The sequence below is a fragment of the Homo sapiens genome, chromosome 1, assembly GCF_000001405.40.
Source record: "Homo sapiens chromosome 1, GRCh38.p14 Primary Assembly".
NCBI classification, from domain to species: Eukaryota; Metazoa; Chordata; class Mammalia; order Primates; family Hominidae; genus Homo; species Homo sapiens.
This window is the reverse complement of record NC_000001.11, coordinates 246,415,489-246,434,428: the sequence shown is the minus strand read 5'-3', so window position 1 is coordinate 246,434,428 and position 18,940 is coordinate 246,415,489. Positions and strand designations below refer to the sequence as shown.

The window sequence follows — 18,940 nt, the reverse complement described above, 5'->3', positions numbered from 1 at the left end:
ATTTTGGATATTAGACCTTTGTCGGATGACAAATAGACAAATTCACAGTTTGTGAATATTTTCTCCCATTCTATATGTTGTCTGTTTACTCTGTTGATAATTTCTTTTGCTGTGCAGATGCTCTTTATTTTAATTAGGTTCCACTTGTCAATTTTTGTTTTTGTTGCAATTGCTTTTGAGGACTTAGTCACACATTCTTTTCTAAAGCTGATGTCCAGAATGGTGTTTCCTAAACCAATCCTTTAGAAGAATGGTTTTCTTCTAGGATTCTTGTAGAATGTGGTCTTATATTTAAATCTTATCCATCTTGACTTAATTTCTGTACATGATGAAAGGTAGAGGTCCAGTTGTATTCTTCTGCATATAGGTAGCCTATCCCAGCACCATTTATTGACTAGAGGGTCCTTTCCCCATTGCTTATTTTTGGTGACTTTGTTAAAGATCAGATGCCTGTGGGTGTGCAGCTTTATTTCTGGGTTCTCTGTACTCCATTGGTCTATGTGTTTGGTTTTGTACCAGTTCTATGCTGTTTTGGTTACTGTTTGGCCTTATAGTATACTTTGAAGTTGGGTAATGTGATGCCTCTGGCTTTGTTCCTTTTGCTTAGAATCGCTTGGGCAATCCTTTGGGCTCTTTTTGAGTTCTATATTTTAGAATAATTTTTTCTAATTCTGTGAAAAATGATGTTGGTAGTTTGATAGGCATAGCGTTGAATCTGTAGATTGCTTTGGGCAGTATGGCTATTTTATTTTATTTATTTTTTCGAGACGGAGCCAGCCTTGCTGTGTCACCCAGGCTGGAGTACAGTGGCACGATCTTGGCTTACTGCCATCTCTGCCTCCTGAATTCAAGCAATTCTCCCGCCTCAACCTCTTGAGTAGCTGGGATTACAGGCGCGTGCCAGCATGCCTGGCTAATTTTTGTATTTTTAGTAGAGATGGGGTTTTACCATGTTGTCCAGGCTGGTCTCAAACTCCTGACCTCAAGTGATCCTCCCACCTTGGCCTCCCAAAGTGCTGGGATTACAGGCGTGAGCCACCGCGAGTGTGGCCATTTTAGTGATATTGATTCTTCTAATTCATGAGCATGGAATGTTTTTCCACTTGTTTGTGACATCTCTGATTTCTTTCAGCAGTGTTTTGTAGTTTTCCTTGTAGAGATCTTTTACCTCTTTGATTAGATGTATTCCTAGATATTGGTGTGTGTGTCTATTGTAAGTGAGATTGTGATCTTAATTTGACCCTCAGCTTGAATGTTATAGGGGTATAGAAATGCTGATTTTTGTATACCAATTTTGTATCCTGAAACTTTACTGAAGTCATTTATCAGTTCCAGGAGTCTTTTGGCAGAGTCTTTAGGGTTTTATAGGTATAGAATCATATTGTCTGCAAAGAGAGAGAGTTTGACTTCTTTTCCTGTTTGGATGCCTTTTATTTCTTCCTCTTGCCTGATTGCTCTGGCTAGGACTTCCAGAAATGCATTCTTAAGCTTATCTATTGATCTAGGATAGATCCATTGAACCTGCTTTGGCCAAAAATTAAGTATCAACTTAACCTTGATTATTTCTTATCATATTAGTAATTAATTTGAGGGAGTGATCATGATAATTCAAACACTGAAAACTTATTAAAAAAAGCTTTCGGAATGTTTTGTAATGATGAGTGTGACTGTGAAGTATACAGCAAGATCACTGTAAAATAGAAGGCTGCCTTTAGAGTAGGAATATGCTTTAGATAATAGTCTGCCATCAGTTAGGCAGTCAAGACCAAGCGAGCGAGTGGAGTCTTACAGTCTGTTACACAGAGAAGTCTTCCAGTATATTTAAAACTCAACCTCACATCGTGAACTGAAGATTTTCTTTTAAAGTGAACATGAGTAAACTCATTAAAGAGAATCTCCTGCTGTTTCTTGACACTGTGCAGATTACATATTTTGGATTTTTGATAAACTTTATTTCCTGGATGATCTCTCTTTCTGGGTGCCCTCTAATTAACTTTTATAAAGCACCAAACACCACCTCTCCACCTCCTTTAAAATCTTTTTGTGAGAACAAGTGGAATGATTAACTTTCTAATTGATGTATGGTGGTGTAGCTATCTAAAATACTTTCATTAAAGCAACTTAATTTTTTAAAGATAGCCAAGTTAAATATGTAATCACTCTCTAGAGTAATTAAAATGAAAGAATGGATATAATTAGAAATTGTGTTTGTCTTTTTATAGGATGTCACATAACTGATAGTTCTGCTATTATGCAGTGGAAAATAAATGGTTCTGATAGTTTCCTTGGAGAAAGTGCTAGAGAGGTAGTACTTTCACACATGTAGTCCAATCTAAGTTTGGCATAATTGTTAGATTACTCTTGTTTGTCTTATCTGCAATTATTCAGTGAGATTTTTAAAAAATACATGTCTATTGAGTTGCCAGACTATATACTTTTTTCCAGAGTATAGTCAGATATGTCGGATTTTAGGAATGGAATGATTTTCCCAATTCCTAAAATAAATAAAAGTTAGAGTTTTTTCATGGCTCTTTCTATTATAAAATATGGAATCCTTTTTAAGAAAAGAATTGAGTCAAAATGAAATTTGAGATTGAACTTGTTGCCTAGAGTTAAACAGATTGTTGCAGAAATGGAGAGTAATTTGTATAGCAGATATATGTAAAGTTGCTCCTTTTATTTATTTATTTGTTTTTTGAGATGGGATCTCACTGTGTTGCCCAGGCTGGAGTGCATTGGTGGCATCTCAGCTCACTGCAACTTCTGCCTCCTGGGTTCAAGCGATTCTGCTGCCTCAGCCTCCCCCGAGTAGCTGGGACTGCAGGCGCACACCAGCATGCCTGGCTGATTTTTGTATTTTTAGTAGAGATAGGGTTTCACCATGTTGGCCAGGCTGGTCTCGAACTCCTGGCTTCAAGCCATCCACCCACCTTGGCCTCCCAAAGTGCTGGGACTACAGGTGTGAGCCACCTCACCTGGCCTAAAGTTGCTCCTTTTAGCAAGAGGTCATACAAAAGGTGTGGCTTATTTGCATACCTTTTCATCAAATTTTGCTGAGCTGTGTATTTGCTGGATTTTTAATTGGGTTCTTTTTCTTAAAAAGTTAGCATTGTAATTAAAGCAAAAGATCAATTTGTGTGAGGTAACAAATTAGTTATGCTTGTTGAATGTAAAAATCCTATGTGTGCGTTTATTGTTTTTTTCTTTTTTTTGATTAAGATACATATTTTTGTATTGGATCCAGCCTATTCTTTGTAGATACTATTTTTCTTCCCTTACATTTGGTGATTTTTCCTGTTTATCTGGTTAACTTCTTAGCTCAAAAGCAATCTTTTCTAAGCATCCTTTTCTGACCTCCCTGTGTGGACTACCCCATCCTTGCTAGTCCATGTGTACTGCTTTCAGCCAGCTCATCAATAATCTAAATCTCAGGGGTTATGTTTCAGTTCTTATTCTATCTTGCTGTGAAACTGGTCAGTATTAACTTCTCTCTTTTCTTACATACTCTTTTCCCACGTTCCTGGTTTTCCTTCCTCTTGTTGTGTAGTTTCTGCTGCTTTTTCTACATAAGCTCCTTCTCTTCTGCTCATTCCACTAATGTTGACGTTCCTCAGGTAATTTCTCTGGGCTCCTTTGTTTTTCTGGCATGTCAGATCCTCCTAAGAAAATGTCATTTATTTCATAACTTCAGTTATCATCTAGTCCTGATGACCCCCAGATAAAAACTCTTAGCTTAGATCTTTCTGTGGATTCCATACTTATATCTGGGTGGCTTCTGGGCAGTTTCAGTGAAAACTCCCTAGATGTCCCACAAGCCCCGTAAGCCCAGTGTCTGCAAACAACTCGTTAGGGATTCTTCTCCAACCTCTCTGATAATGTCATTTCTCTGCCCAAGAATGTTCAGTGTCTCTTCTTGCCTACCAAATGTGCTGGCTCCAAACTATATTTCTAGCTTTTTAGTCCACTCTGCCACATACGGCCTTCGCTCTAGTTCAACTCAAGTACTTGATTTCTACTACTGTGATCTGAAATACCTCCATGTTATTTACTCTTGCTTCTTGCCTTCCTCTCTTAAATAGATCCTCATTTCTTACAGATGCCCAGGCAGCTCTGATGTTATCTTGATGCTGGAACTGTCTCTGTTCCAGTTAGTCTATATTAATCTTTCCTTTTTCTGAGCCCCTGTATTTTATTGATATCCATTTAACAGCATTACTTCATTCCGTTTCTTGTATGATTATTTAGTACTTGCCAGTCATATCCTTGAGGCAGGAGTTACCATTTCTCGTATGATTATTTAGTACTTGCCAGTCATATCCTTGAGGCAGGAGTTACCGTTTCTCGTATGATTATTTAGTACTTGCCAGTCATATCCTTGAGGCAGGAGTTACCGTTTCTCGTATGATTATTTAGTACTTGCCAGTCATATCCTTGAGGCAGGAGTTACCGTTTCTCGTATGATTATTTAGTACTTGCCAGTCATATCCTTGAGGCAGGAGTTACCGTTTCTCGTATGATTATTTAGTACTTGCCAGTCATATCCTTGAGGCAGGAGTTACCGTTTCTCGTATGATTATTTAGTACTTGCCAGTCATATCCTTGAGGCAGGAGTTACCGTTTCTCGTATGATTATTTAGTACTTGCCAGTCATATCCTTGAGGCAGGAGTTAAGACATTTTCCCTTGTAGGACCCAGACACTGTGCCTGGCATATGGTGGATATTGCTTGTCTGACATGGTGTTTGATTGAGGGGTTGAGGAGTGAGGCCTCTGACGACTCTTTTAGTTAATATCTTTCATCTTAAGTTCTGGGAACACAGCAGGGTTGATTGCTGTTTCATTTCTCAGCCTGTGTATAGAGTCATAGCCTAGACTTATGTAGATATATGTGGGAAAGCAGTTATGGATTTTTACAACTCCAGCTGATGGCACTTCATATTTTTGTTTTATTGTAAGATGGACGTTTCCTCCTACATTTTTGACATAACTGAAATTAGGATGCGTCCTACATTTGAAGGCCTCTTAAGATGATACTTGGCAGTGCTATACTGTTTTTAATGGTATCTTTAATAATGGCATGTCTTACAATCCATAGCATCTTACATTTGATGAATTTTAGTAAGTTATACCATAAGGTTATATCTTGATTCCCTTTCTTAGAGTTGTATCACCCAAGAGTATCACTGGTTGCAGTGGACAGTGTGGCTTCTACTCAACATTCTTTCCAATCCAGCTCATTACATGGCAGTTTTGCAGGTTTGGTGGGGTAGACTTCCCTTATTACTGTACCTGTGGTGGGTTCCCATTGGCATAGATAACTCTGGGCAACCTTATTCCCTGTCTACGGTGGTTGGTTCTGTGGTGGGAACAATACCTGATCTGTCCTATTAAAGTGAGACTCAGAGCTTTTGTTTGGTAGGAAGGAATGCTTGTGCTCTCCCCTTTTATATGAGTACAGGGTAGTTCCAGGACCCATTGGCATCTATAATATTCCTGACGGGGAGCCAGACTGAGCTGCAAGCTAGCTCTGGAAGAGGGCAGAGCAGAGGGAACTGGAGAGAAAGGAGTCACAGCCTGAGAAGCCATCACGAGGCAGCAGAGCATCGGCGGTTAAGAGCATGGGCTGTGGTGTAGATTGCATGGGTTTGAATCAGCAGTTAAGAGCATGGGCTGTGGTCTAGATTGCGCGGGTTTGAATCAGCAGTTAAGAGCATGGGCTGTGGTCTAGATTGCACGGGTTTGAATCAGCAGTTAAGAGCATGGGCTCTGGTCTAGATTGCACGGGTTTGAATGCCAGCTCTGCTACTCACTAACTGTGGCATGCTGGGCAAATGTAATAGATGCTCTCTGTACCTTTAGATAATTTCCTTATCTGTAAAATGAGGATAACAACTCTCAGAAAGTTGTGGCAAGGATTAAATAGATTAATACACACAAAATGGAGAGAGCAGTACCTGACAGATAGTATTTGCTGTTGTTACTGTTGTCATTATTATTTCTAACCAACTCTGAAACCTGCCCACTATCTGGGTTTTCTTTTCTTTTTAATGCAAATCTGTTTTTTTGTTATTTGCAACTGAAAAACACCCTAACTCTTACACTGGTTAGTTAACTCTGAGACTAATTTGAATTCAACTTAAAGATAAGTATTAAGTAACTAGTTTGACTTCCTTCCCACTGCATACTTTACACAGTAGGTTAAAGGAACTCTAAAAATGTGAAAATTACTATTGCATAGACCAATTTTTTCCAGGATTGAACAAATCAATCCGAGGGTGTTTACAAGAGCTAACTGAACTACCTTCCTTCCCCCTTACTTTAACAAATAAGCACTAATAATGGTACTGGCTGTCAATTCCTACATTGTCAAGAGGTCTAAAATTTTTTTATATTTGAACATTTCATTGAGTAGATAAGCAGATATTTTCAGTTACTTTCAGTCATGTAGATATCCCCCATTTTCATGTCTGTATTTGGAATTCCTCTGTAATAAGTTAAGGATTTAAGAATCTTTTAACCTTTTAAGCATACCTCTAAATTCTAAATTCTTCTTCTGCTTTACTTTTTTTTTCTCTTGAGACAAGATCTCACTGTATCACCTACGCTGGAGTGCAGTGACACAGTCATGGCTCATCGCAGCCTCAACCTCCTGGGCTCAAGCCATCCTCCCACCTCAGCTTCCTGAGCAGCTGGGACTATAGGCATGCCTGGCTGATTTTTAAAATTTTTGTAGAGATGGAGTCTCCCTGTGTTGCCCAGGCTAGTCTTGAACTCCTGGGCTCAAGTGATCCTCCCACCTTGGCCTCCCAAAGTGTTGCGAATACAGGCATGAGCCACGACACCTGGCCTGCTTAATCTTTCTTAAATGTATGTATGCTCACATTTATTTTTTTTTATTTTTTTTTTTTTTGAGACGGAGTCTCGCTCTGTCGCCCAGGCTGGAGTGCAGTGGCGGGATCTCGGCTCACTGCAAGCTCCGCCTCCCGGGTTCACGCCATTCTCCTGCCTCAGCCTCCCGAGTAGCTGGGACTACAGGCGCCCGCCACTACGCCCGGCTAATTTTTTGTATTTTTAGTAGAGACGGGGTTTCACCGTTTTAGCCGGGATGGTCTCGATCTCCTGACCTCGTGATCCGCCCGCCTCGGCCTCCCAAAGTGCTGGGATTACAGGCGTGAGCCACTATTTTAATGTTTAATATTAGAAGTCCTTTAGGTCTTTAAGTTTGGTGATAGTTCTGTGACCAGAAATATGTCAGAGGAACTTAGAAAACTCAGTGTGTTCCAATATGACATTTGCTTTCTGTAGCTAGCTTCTTTCCTTCTTTGTTTACATACCTGGATGGCTGAATGATCTAGTCGCCTTGCTTCTTGTCTACTAACTTCTCTCTCCTTGGTAGTAGTTAAAAACACACACTTTCAAAGGAGTTCAGTGGTTTCTAAAATTATTTTTATGGTATAGTAAATAGGCTCTCAAATTTACATAGAGTTTTATTGTTTATAAAATATTTTATATATATTTTCTTTTTAGGATTTCTGTAAAGTAGAGAGGGCAGACATTATTTTATCCTGTTGTAGATGAACAAATAATGGCTTCTAGTTAATGTAATATGGTGGTGACATATATAGAAACATATGATTTTCCTCTCAGAGTTAAAGTATCAAATAATCAGCACTTTACTTTATTAGGAAGACACTAAGAATATTCCCACAAAGGTTGGGACCATTGTACTGGCAGTATTAACAAAAGCACTTGACAGGAGGAAACAGTTGGAGGCATTGTAATTGGAAAATGATTTCTATCTGCAGCTCATATGACATTTTACTTAAAAAAACCCTAGTAAATCAATGATAAAACCTTACTCAATGAACCTCAGAAAACATTATGCTAAGTGAAAGAAGCCGGACATAAAAGACCGCATGTCATATGATTCGTTATGTAAAATATCCACAACAGGCAAATCTATATAGACAGAAAGTAGATTAGTGGCTGTGTAGGGCTGGGAGGTCGAGATGGGGTAGGGATAGGGAGTAACTCCTAATGGGCCTAAAGGTTTCTTTTTGGGGTGATGAAACTGTTCTAAAATTACATTGTGGTGATGGCTGTACAGCTCTCTAAATATACTTCAACCCATTGAATAGTACATTTAAAATCAGTGAATTTTATGGCATGTAAATGATTTCTCAATAAAGTCGTTAAAAAATCCCAACTCAGTAAAATAACTCAATAGGGTAATAGGTATGATAAAATTAACATGGAAAAATCAAAAGCCTTCATAAATGTAAACAATAATGAGTTAGAAGGTATAAGGAAGGCTGGTCCAAAGGTCCAACTGAGTTATCTCAATTGACTTTTCAGTCAGTTATAGATTAAACTCCTTGTTCTAGTCTTTCTCCACTTGTTACTACTGCGCTTGACTAGTCTTAAAAAAAAAGAGATATAATCGAAGAGAAAACCCCATTTACAATAGCAAGAAAAAAAGATAAAATACTCAGCAATTAAACTTTAAAAATGTACAAAACTTACAGGAAGAAAACTTTAAAGCACTCCTGAAAGGCCCGAAAGTAGAACTGAACAAAACTAAAGGCATCCCTTGTTCTTGGACGAAATGGCATCATTCTGAAGGATGGCATTAAAGTAATCAAGGATTTGAGTGCAAGTAGTTTATTAGGGAGATGATCCCAGGAAGCACCTGTAAAGAGCTGAGTAAGTAAGACAGAATGAAGCCACTACAGGGTATGCTAATGAACAGGCCGCAACTATTGGCAACTGAAGCTCAATCCCATTGGGTACTTTTGTGAAGCTACATGGAATCTACCTCATAGTTATCTTACCTGAGGGCAAAGAAGCGGGAGTATTTATTCATTCACTCTTGTCCAGCTCTGGTTTCTGGCCTGTCTCAGCAAGCTCCCAGCCAGTGAACACTCTCAGGCAGAGAGTGGCTGTGGCTTACTGTAGAAAGCCTTAGGCATGTAAGAGAATGGTGAGTGCTGAGCTTATGTTACAGTGGCGTTCCAAGGATCTGTGCTGTGGAGATGTAGAAGATACTCCAGTTACAGACCAAACTGAGGAGATGGATGTACTCTGTGGTCTTTGTTATCTAGGTTGGTGTTGTATCTCCGGTACCAGGAGAGCTGTGGTCGTTTCTGAATGGAACCATATGTGGGTGGGGGTAACTTTGCGGTTTCTGGTGTGTGTTGAAAAAGTTTTGGGGTTCCTCTACCACTCACCGCATGTGCTTTGCCCATGGTCACTCAGAAGTCTGGACTGGCACTTTGGAAAGAGATCTGACCTAGTCTTGCTGTGACCAGTTTTACATTGAGCCTGGGGTTTTTGCCGATTAAATAGAATCAAGTAGGATAAATGGCAACATCAATAAGATAATTATTTATTTTTACAAAGTAAGCAATATTATTTTGCTCCATTTATCTCCGCCAATATGAATTCTATCATAGTTAGTACTTGATTACTATTATCGCTATGTAAAGTATATAAGAAATTATATAAAGTATAATTACATTTTTGCAAGTGGGTATGTTGATGTGACAACTTTTTGCATGTTGATAAAAAAGCTGTAGCATATATAAGATAAACATAATGGTTCCATGAACCAAAGATGATAAAACGATTTTGCAAATAACTATTTGACTTAATTTTCTTTTTACAAATCCTCAACTGCTATTTTTATTTGGCGATGTCTAGTAGTTCAAAAACTTATTTGAGTGAGAAGATATTATCAGTAAACTAGTTGGCTAATTAAAGTTAATTTTTTAATTTTGAAAATCATACACAGCTATTTTATGACAGATGGAAAGGAAAGCAATGTAGAATGACCATATTACAGTAAATCATCTGTGAAAACTTCAGGCAGACATTTATATCAATTAGTAAAGATGTTGGTTTTCAGCTTTATTCCCAACAGATGCACTAACACAGACCAGCTTAAATATGTTGCTTGGTAGGCATTTTTCTTGCCATGTTTTAGTAAGTTTACTTATTTATTTATTTTTTTAATTTATTTTTGTTGTTTTTGTCCTCTCTTTTTCTGTCTTCCTTTGAGTATTTATTAATATTCCATTTTATCTCTTCTGTTGACTTGTTAGCTATACTTGTTTGTTTGTTGTTGCTTTTGGTTTAAAACATCTATCTCTAACTCATCATAATCTACTGTAAAATAATATAAATTTAATATATAATGTAAGAACCTTACAATAGTTTACTTCTATTCTCCCCTCCTATTTTCTGTGCTATTTTATCATGCATTTTACTTGTACGTGTTATAAACCCCACGGTACATTGTTACAACATTTCTAGCACTCTTCATTTCTTTGTATTCATCTGTTTCCAGCTGGTATCCTTTCTCTTTAACCTGAAGAACTTCCTTAAAAATTTCTAGCTTTAGGTCTGCTGGTACCCAATTCTTCTTGCATTTGTCTGGAATTTTTGTTTTGCCTTTATTTTTAATGATTTTTCTGCTAGATATAGAATTCTGGCTTGACTTTTTGTTCTGTCTTTCATCACTTTAAAGATGTTCCATTGTCTCCTGGTTTGCACTGTTTCTGGGGGAAACTTCTGTGGCAAAGTTTCTACAGTGGTCTATAAGATTCTACTTGTTCTGAAACTTAGACTTCAACCTCATTTTCTTCTCCCTCCCTCTTTTAAACAGGCTGCTTACCTGCTCCCTATTTTCTCATTTATTGTCTAGTCTTTGGGGACCACTCTTCTACTGGATTTCTTATAGTGCAGGCTATCTTTTTTTTTATTTTTTTGAGATAAAATATATTGCCCAGCTTAGTTTTAAACTCCTGGCCTCAAGCAATCCTCCTGCCTCAGGCTCCTGGGTAGCTGGGGCTGCAGGTGTGCGTCTCCACATCTGACTACTTTAAAACATTTTTTTAGAGGTAGGGTCTTGTTATGCTTCCCAGGCTTGTCTTGAACTCCTGGACTCAAGTGATCCCACCATCTCATCCCCTCTAGGAGGTGGGATTACAGGCACAAGCCACTGCTCCTGGTTCATGCAGACCATCTTATGAGATGGTAGTCTGTGGCTGCTCTCTGTGTACTTATAATACCTTCTGTTCTGCACTTGTTTTCCTTCTGACTCTATTTTTCTTTTCTTTTTCTTTTTTTTTTTTTGAGTTGGAGTCTCACTCTATTGCCCAGGCTGGAGTGCAGTGGCGCGATCTCGGCTCACTGCAACCTTCGTTTCCCGGGTTCAAGTGATTCTCCTGCCTCAGCCTCCTGAGTAGCTGGGATTATAGGCATGCGCCACCATGCCCGGCTAATTTTTGTATTTTTAGAAGAGACAGGGTTTCACCATGTTGGTCAGACTGGTCTCGAACTCCTGACCTCATGATCCGCCTGCCTTGGCCTCCCAAAGTGATTGGAATTATATGCCTGAGCCACTGCGCCGGGTCATCTCACTCCATTTTCCTTCCTAACACTTACCACTGTGTGATGTATGTGTTTGTTTATTGTTTTTTTTCTTCTTTTGAATTTTAGATCTAACCAGAGAATTAATTTTGTTATTATCCTCTAGAACAGTGCCTGGCACATAGTAGGGGTTCAGTAAATATTTGTGGCCAGAAAGAAAGAAAGACTTCAGTTCATTAAAGAGGTGGTTGTAGAAATTCTGGGAGATAGAGCTATCTTAAAAAAAAATCATAATAAATATAAGAGTACTTATGAGTTCATTGTTTGAAAACATTGTAAACCAGGTGCAGTGGCTCACGCCTGTAATCCCAGCACTTTGGGAGGCTCAGGCGGGTGGATCACTTGAGGTCAGGAGTTCGAGACCAGCCTGGCTAACGTGGCGAAACCCCGTCTCTACTAAAAATACAAAAATTAGCTGGGCGTGGTGGGCTCTGGTAGTCCCAGCTGCTCAGGAGGCTGAGGCAGGAGAATCCCTTGAACGCAGGAGGTGGAAGTTGCAGTGAGCTGAGATCATGCCACTGCACTCCAGCCTGGGTGACAGAATGAGACTCTGTCTCAAAAAAATAAATTAAAAAAAAAGGCAAACATTGTAGCCTTTGTCACTAATTTTCCAGCTGACCCCGAGGAGATTATACTTTCTGAGTCTGATAAATGAAGGAATGGGATCAGGCAATATTTAAAGTCCTATCCAACTATAATATATATATTTATCTATTTATTCTAAACAAGATCCTAACAAGGCCTCTTCCTTAGTTGTCTGTGCAAAAATCCATTTTAATCAGGTTAAATATGTAGTAGAGAGATTATGTCATTTTCCTATGCAAAAATCTTTGCCCTAGTATTCTTTGATCTGTGGCTTATCATCAAAGGGCCTTCACAGTGTCATGCTATTCTGTCTCCGGTATTCCATGTCACCATTCCTTACTTGTGATGGTTAACTGGGCTAAGGGATGTCTAGATAGCTGGTATAATATTACTTTTGGTTGTATCTGTGAGAGTGGTCCGGGAAGAGATGAGCACTTGAATGTGCAAACTGGTAAAGATCACCCTCATCAGTCTATTGAGGGCATGAGTAGACCAAAAAGGCAGAGGAAAGGTGAATTTGCTCTCTCCCTTTTGAGCTGGCACATCCATCTTCTGCTCTTGGCGCTCTTGGTTCAGGGGCTTCTGACTCAGATTCAGTCCCCCAGCTTTCGAGTGTGTTCTGTTCCTCACATTGCACTTGATGTTTGGGGCTTTGAGCTCAGCTTCCCTCTCCCTGAGCAGTAGCTCAGCTGTAGGCCTTTCTGAGCTGCTTTTAGACTTAATCATCTCTTCTATTTTACTGTTTTTAATTGCTTTGTATTATTTTCAAATACCTCTGAATTATTGTAGATGGTTTTTAGTCTTTTTCTGTTTTTTCTTTTTTTAGTATTTTAAGTCTTATAAATATTGCCTTTAATATAGACCTGGGGGCTCTGTGACTTACAATAAAATAATGAAATGACATTAGAACTTTCATTTTAAGGTCATCTTGTTTTTTTGCTTATTTCTTTCATGGATTTGAAGGTCACCTTTTCTATTTTATTTTGTTACATTTTACTGCCTTTAATATTTTACAAAATACAGTGGGGGTCTTGAGATCTTTTTATTAAAATTCTTTTGGTAACTTTTACTGGTTTACAGAATTAGTAATGGCACTTTATTTTTTTTTTAAAAGGATCTTGTCAAGCTATTTATTCTTTGTTGTAAGGTAAATAAAAGTGGTACAACTGCTTTAGCCTTATTGGTAGTTTTGTGTAATACAATGAAACATAATATAATGTTAGTAGATATTAAAGAAGCTTCTTCCTTAAACATCTGTTGTTTCATCAATATGAGACATGCTAAATGTAATTAGTAATTTCGATTATTCCTTGCCAGTTAATGATGCAAACAGTGTTGACCCTTACCTATCAGATAAAAATATACAGTGTAAACATTAGAGAAGAATAGCTATTTGAGGAGTTTAGAGTTTATTTCTTTATAGGATATTATACTTTTACAAGGCTATGTGTTGACATATAGTAACTGGACTGCCTAGAAAGATCTGTCTTATAAAAATAGTCATACTTCAGCACCCAGACAAAGAAAAAGGTAAAGTTCATCAATTACTGCATTAATCCCTCCAAACTGGGTTGGTTATCTTTCCAGCTAATGATTTTTTGCCCTGCTCCACGGCAATTTCTCTTCCCTAACCTATGCTATAATTTTAGTGGGCACTACCTTTCTTGTTAACATTTCCATTTTAATACTTTTTTGAAGATTTATCTTGAAAGGTTTTTATTAGTGGGCATTTGCTATATTAGAACAAGCCAAAGATCAGATATTTTTGGGCAGTTGAATCTTTCACCTGCGTAGGAAATCATGCCAAATATAAGACTATCTTCTCTGTCCATTCATAAACTTTCTCTAGATAAGGTCATGAATTCTTGGAAATAAAACTGTTGTTCTTCACATATTCTCTCCAAACTGTTAAATTATTTACAAACGAACCTTGGATGATGATGATTTCAGCTTGACTGAATTATCATTGACTGCAGTGGGCTTTAGGAAGTAGGTGCTTAATACATGTTTATTGCGTGCTGTGAAGTCACTGTGCCTTTAATTATTTTATTTACTTCCAACCCCAAGCTGTAGGAGCAGTCTCTTGCATGATGGAGTCAGTTTTCTTTTTGCTGTACTTTCAGTTCAACTTCATCTTCTAAACTCCTCATCGAGTGGTTTATGTATTAGCTTCTTATTGATGCTATATCAAGTCATGACAGACTTTTTTTTTTTTTTTGAGACAGTCTTGCTCTGTCGCCCAGGCTGGGGTGCAGTGGCACAATCTCAGCTCACTGCAACCTCCACCTCCTGGGTTCAAGTGATTCTTCTGCCTCACCCTCCCGAGTAGCTGGGACTACAGGCATGTGCGACCACACCTGGCTAATTTTTATATTTTTAATAGAGACGGGGTTTCACCGTGTTAGCCAGGATGGAGAAGTCTCGATCTCCTGACCTCGTGATCCCCCTGCCTCGGCCTCCCGAAATTCTGGGATTACAGGCATGAGCCACAGCTCAAGTCGTGACAGACTTTTTAGCTGAAAACAGTGGTCCCCAACCTTTTTGGCACCAGGGACTGGTTTTGCGGAAGATAGTTTTTCCAGGGATATAGAGTGAGGGGGGCGGATGGTTTCTAGATGAAACTATTCCACCTTGGATCATCAGGTATTAGATTCTCATAAGGAGCATGCAACTTAGATCCCTGCCATGTGCAGTTCACAATAGGGTTAGTGGTCCTATGAGAATCCAGTGCCACCACTGACTGTGATACGGGAGTGCTGGGAAGGGAAGAGTGTGGTCCCTTTAAATGATGAGGAAGGGGGTAAGGGAAGTGCTGGGTAGAGGAGGGCATGGTCCCTGGCTAGGGCGCTACCCCCATCGACCTAGGTGAGGACAAGCACTTCTGCCTTTGCGCCCAAATGTTGCATTTTCCAAGACTACCCTGGTCTACCACGCCCCCATCCTGGGCCTATAAAAACCCAAGACCCTAGCAAGGCACAGACAGAAGCAGCTGGAGGGTGAGAGGAACACATTGGTGGAAGAAGACAAGTGGCCGGACATCGGGAGGACGTGGAGGGTGTCACACGTGTCCATGTGAAGAGACCACCAAACAGGCTTTGTGTGAGCAATAAAGCTTTTTAATCACCTGGGTGCAGGCGGGCTAAGTCTGAAAAGAGAGTCAGCAAAGGGTGGTGGGATTATCATTAGTTCTTATAGGTTTATCTTATAGGTTTATCCCTATAAGAACTTATCTATAGTTCTTATAGAGATAGGCGGTGGAGTTAGGAGCAATTTTTGCTAGTGGGGGGTGGATCTTACAAAGTACATTCTCAAGTGTGGGGAGGATATTACAAAGGATATTACATTCTCAAGGGCGGAGGAATATCACAAAGTCCATTATCGCAAGGGCGGGGAGGGGGTATTGTCACAAAGTCAATTGATCACTTAGGGTGGGGAGGGAACAAATCACAATGGTGCAATGTCATCGGTTAAGGCAGGAACTGGCTATTTTCAGTTGTTTTGTAGTTCTTCAGTTGCTTCAGGCCATCTGGATGTATACGTGCAGGTCACGGGGGATATGATGGCTTACCTTGGGCTCAGAGGCCTGACAAAGGGGAGCACGCAGGCAGAAGAGCACAGCAACAGATGCCAGCACGCTGGGAGGCCGTCGGCCAGCAGAACGACGTGGAGTTTGGCTGGGACGGTTGGAGGAGAGCCCAGGTCACCGAGCGCCCGACTCCGGGAGAAAACCATTTCCCTTCTGGCTCCCCCATCTGCTGAGAGCTACTTTACTCAATAAAACCTTGCACTTATTCTCCAAGCCTACATGTGATCTGATTCTTCCAGTTCACCAAAGCAAGAAACCCCAGGATATAGAAATCCCTTTGTCCTTGTGATAAGGAAGGGGGTCTAATTGAGCTGACTAACACAAGCTGCCTACAGACGGCTAGATTAAAAGAGCACCTTGTAACACATGCCCACTGGGGCTTCAGGAGCTGTAAACATACACCTCTAGACACTGCCATGGGGTCCGAGCCCCACAACGTGCCCATCTGTATGCTCCCCCTAGAGGTTTGAGCAGCAGGGCGCTGAAGAAGCAAGCCACTCCCTCTGTGGCAGAGGGGGACAAGGGAACCTTTACTCTACTTTCTCTTCATGTTTCTTATAAGTGGAACCATATAATATTTGTCGGTTTATCCGTCTTGTAGCATGTGGCAGAATGTCTGTTGCTTTTTGGTCTTAGAGAGTATAGGTGTGAAGATAATTTTTCCTCCCCCTCTGGCTCTGAAATTTGAAAGTGCTGAAATGACCTGACATTAGACTGATTAACAGGGGAAGAGGCATATAAATGTATTAATGTGCAGAAGCACAGGGGCCACACAGTATATGAGACTCAGAGAACTGAAACCACCTTGCTAAGGTTATGATGGTTAGAGAAATCCAACACAGCTGACTTTATCTTGCTTCTGACCCCAGAAGCTGACTATCTGCTCATTCCTGGGTGTAGGTCAAGCTAACTAAAAAGGAGTTTAGTTTACAGTTTAACTTTAAAGCAAGGATGATAATAGTCCCTTCCTGAAACTGGTCCCCTTCTTGCTTGGGAACTGAAACTGCATTTGTAAAACTAATGAAAGTCAATAAGATTAGAATTATGATAAGGGCCTGAATTCTGCTAAGTAATAAGCACAGTGAAGAAGAGATAACCAGCCATTGTTCCCTAGCTTGGTTACTGCTGGAGGTCACAAGATTTGAGATAACATCACCACTGTAAACCCTAAGATGGGTTTTTGAGATATTTTTCAGACCTTTGCATTCTGGTAAACTGACTGATGCCATCTGGACCATGACTCATACCAAGGAACAGACTCAACTCGTCCTGTGACCCCCACCTAGAAACTGACTCAGCACGTGAAGACAGTTCCAACACTCCAGTGATTTCATCTCCAACCAATCAGTAGCATACATTCCCTGGCCCTCAGCTTGCCAAATTATCCTTAAAAACCCTGGGCTCCAAGCTTTCGAGGAGGTGGATTTGAGAGATACCTCCCCTCCTTCTGCTCAGCTGCCTTGCAGTAATTAAACTCTTTCTCTGCTGCAACACCCCTACTGTTCTCCGTGTATTGGCTTTTCTGGGCAGCAGGTAAGAAGAACCTGTTGGGCTGTAACAGAAAGGCCAGATAGCCACAGCTTAAATGGCACTCTCTTTCTAGCAGTCAGGGAGATGGGGGAATATAGGCAATTTTGGGGGATAGTGATTTTAGGAGAGTTTAATGGATCCAAGGAGCAGACAGTAGTTTGTAAATGGTTCTCTTTGGAAACTGAATGGGACCCACAAGTTATGGGAAGTTGAGGGAGGAACTGTAGGGTGAACAGAGGTTGTTGTATTATGCAGTTGAAGTCTCTCGGGTAATGTCTCAAAGCTGCCCTCTGAAGAACAGACGAACAGTCTGTCTGGTCTTGGCAATGACTTATTATAGATTCTTTTCTTCTCAGGTTAATCTTTCCTGGTAATTTAATGAGATTTCTGGGGAGGAGGTTTAAGAGAATTGTATTTCTTAAGGAAAAAGTTTCCTTAGTCTGATAAGGAAATTCCAGAGAGAGCCCCTCTCTGTGCTTTGGGAGTTGGAGAGATACAGGAGAAGGTTACAGAGTCCTTGGTTCTGAGGCAGCTTCTAAGGTCTTCTGTTTTTTTAAAATTCGGAAGTGCCCAGCATATGAAAGCACCATACTTCAGGATATCATTTTCTGAGCCCCAATAATAGTCATAGTAATTTTCTGCTGAAAACGTTTGTATGATTTTCAATGCAAAAATGAATTCTTTATTTTCCCCCTTTACTTTCATTTTATATGACCTTAGTAAAAGTTTTTTTTTTTTTTTTTTACTTTTCCCAGTGGACACTGTTCTAATTGTGGGCTTGTTGATTCATGCTGATGAATAGTAATTTCTTGCAAGTTATTCTGGCACATAGGGTTCATTTTTCATGTGATCTGCATAAAAATAATGGTGGTGAATACTAATCAAGTAAGAATGCAGATTTGAATACTAAGCTTCAAAGAAAAAAACTTAATTAGAACCTTTAAGTCACAGTAGTGGTCCCTCTGCAGGGAAAGTATGCTTTATTAGTTCTGTAATGTAAAACTTTTTTCTTGTTCCAACCTATAAATTGATTAGTGACACCGCATGGGTAAGAAATTGGGAGTGGGTTGGGCAGAACTGCTGTCTCATATGATGTTCTTAAGGATTGTTTATTATTACCAGTAGCATAGTTTAAACTAAAACTATTTACCCCAGGATAAAAATTTATTTGAACAGTTAAATCAAGTTTATTTCTCAAAAAATTTATTTGTGAATGCATTGTACTGTATGCAACATAGGAGATATTAATTACTTTTAATGGCAAAACCCACAGTTCCTTTTGCACCAACCTAATACAAAGAATATAAGTTCTCTAAGAACTTCCAGTCTAGTGTACTTACGTGTGGGAGTTTCTACGTACATGTATGCAGTTCAAGGCATAACATACGGAAAGTTAACTAACAGAATTAAACAGTGCAACCAGAACACCATAAAAATGACATCAGAGTTTGAGTGGCAATAGATAAATAAACTATATAGACTAGTGGTGCTCAATGTTTTTATTTTAAATGGTATAAAACCTTTTTTCTCTAAATGAAATCTTAAACTGAACCAAAAGAGTGAAAAAATGGTGAAAGCCGGGCATGATGGTGTGTGCCTGTAGTCCTGGCTACTTGGGAGGCTGAGGCAGGAGGATCACTTGAGCCCAATAGTTTGAGTCTAGCCTGGGCTGAGCATAGTTCACTGGTCTTTAAAAAAATAAGTGAGCAAAGATTATTTATTTATTTATGTAATTTTTAGTGCTGGAGGCCAGGGTTCTAGATCTAGTTCTATGAACTAGCTTTATGACCTGGGACTATTTACCTCAACT

The 18,940-nt window shown here is 39.6% G+C and overlaps 1 protein-coding gene across 5 annotated transcripts in view, besides 5 other annotated features; it reads left to right on the top strand.

Annotated features, from left to right (window-relative positions):
• The window catches only part of SMYD3 (SET and MYND domain containing 3), a 757,933-nt gene that overhangs the window by 72,851 nt on the left and 666,142 nt on the right, over window positions 1-18,940 (top strand). Inside the window, exon 1 of one of the 5 annotated variants that reach the window (NM_022743.3) lies at window positions 17,017-17,133. The exons of the other annotated variants lie outside the window; for them this stretch is intronic. The gene's annotated coding sequence lies outside the window, so the exon portion shown is untranslated. Of the gene's footprint in view, window positions 1-17,016; window positions 17,134-18,940 lie in introns of those variants that run through there. 5 annotated transcript variants of the gene reach the window in all.
• Window positions 5,117-5,616: an enhancer, noted in NCBI's record as "H3K27ac hESC enhancer chr1:246592115-246592614 (GRCh37/hg19 assembly coordinates)". NCBI's record gives its function as "activates a minimal SCP1, AML or CMV promoter by ChIP-STARR-seq in naive H9 embryonic stem cells {active_cell/tissue: H9 hESC(naive)}" and the evidence as "EXISTENCE:reporter gene assay evidence [ECO:0000049][PMID:30033119]".
• Window positions 5,534-5,603: an enhancer, noted in NCBI's record as "active region_2854". NCBI's record gives its function as "activates an Ori minimal core promoter by ATAC-STARR-seq in GM12878 lymphoblastoid cells {active_cell/tissue: GM12878}" and the evidence as "EXISTENCE:reporter gene assay evidence [ECO:0000049][PMID:35858748]".
• Window positions 5,617-6,118: an enhancer, noted in NCBI's record as "H3K27ac hESC enhancer chr1:246591613-246592114 (GRCh37/hg19 assembly coordinates)". NCBI's record gives its function as "activates a minimal SCP1, AML or CMV promoter by ChIP-STARR-seq in naive H9 embryonic stem cells {active_cell/tissue: H9 hESC(naive)}" and the evidence as "EXISTENCE:reporter gene assay evidence [ECO:0000049][PMID:30033119]".
• Window positions 5,714-5,813: a silencer, noted in NCBI's record as "silent region_2032". NCBI's record gives its function as "represses an Ori minimal core promoter by ATAC-STARR-seq in GM12878 lymphoblastoid cells {active_cell/tissue: GM12878}" and the evidence as "EXISTENCE:reporter gene assay evidence [ECO:0000049][PMID:35858748]".
• Window positions 16,688-16,982: an enhancer, noted in NCBI's record as "tiled region #15017; K562 Activating non-DNase unmatched - State 16:ElonW". NCBI's record gives its function as "activates a minimal TATA promoter and a strong SV40 promoter by Sharpr-MPRA in K562 cells {active_cell/tissue: K562}" and the evidence as "EXISTENCE:reporter gene assay evidence [ECO:0000049][PMID:27701403]".